The sequence below is a fragment of the Homo sapiens genome, chromosome 5 (genome assembly GCF_000001405.40).
Source record: "Homo sapiens chromosome 5, GRCh38.p14 Primary Assembly".
In the NCBI taxonomy this organism is placed as follows: Eukaryota; Metazoa; Chordata; class Mammalia; order Primates; family Hominidae; genus Homo; species Homo sapiens.
Genome location: NC_000005.10, coordinates 6,265,110 through 6,265,940, shown reverse-complemented (window position 1 = coordinate 6,265,940; position 831 = coordinate 6,265,110).

The window sequence follows — 831 nt, the reverse complement described above, 5'->3', positions numbered from 1 at the left end:
TGAAAATTATTATTACTTACTCAAGAAGTAATTTATTCATTTAAAAATAAGCATTTTGCTTCTATGATCTTTTTATCCTTTGCTGGGGCTGGAAATACAGTGTGCTGCCTTGGGTCTTCTGAGATGCAGACACTAAGGTAGGTTTAGATATGCAAGAGATTGTCAGGGAAATGCCTGTGAAGGGTAAGGGAACAGCCACAGGAGGAGGCAGGGAGAGCCTCCAGACTGAGATGTGGGTCTGACATCTGTGAACGAAGAGAAGGAAGGAAGGGCTGAGTAGAACATCTCATGTCACAGTGCAGGTCTGAGAAGGATTTGGCCAGGCTGATGATGTCTCCTCATGCCAAACCTGCTTGTTAGAGGAGTCCTGGCCCAGTAGGAATGGGCAGATACCGGCACCTGCCATGCTCAGGCACTGGCTGGAGCATCCCAAGGAAAGCATGGCTGTGGCCTGAATGCAGTGCTGGGTCCAGAGGGCCAGCACTGACCCTGCCAGTCAGCATTGCCCCCTGAAGCAGGAAAGCAGAGTGTGCATCTTCATGGCGGCCACAGCAACCTACAAGACTCAGTCTCTGATTTCAAGAAACACACACCATGGTTGGGATGCAGAGTGTGGTGATCCTCCATGGGGGCATGTCCGGGGCTCCTGTGTAGGTGCATGAGTAATATGCATGTGCACAGCTTTTGGAACTAATACTGGGCCCATCCTGGGACTGACTTGGTACAATGGCATGTAATTATTATTTGCAGAATCAAGTGCTTCTGTTTAATTCAGTGTATGCTTGTTGAGACACTTGATGCTCCAGTCCTGAGGGAGAACAGGAGATGAGT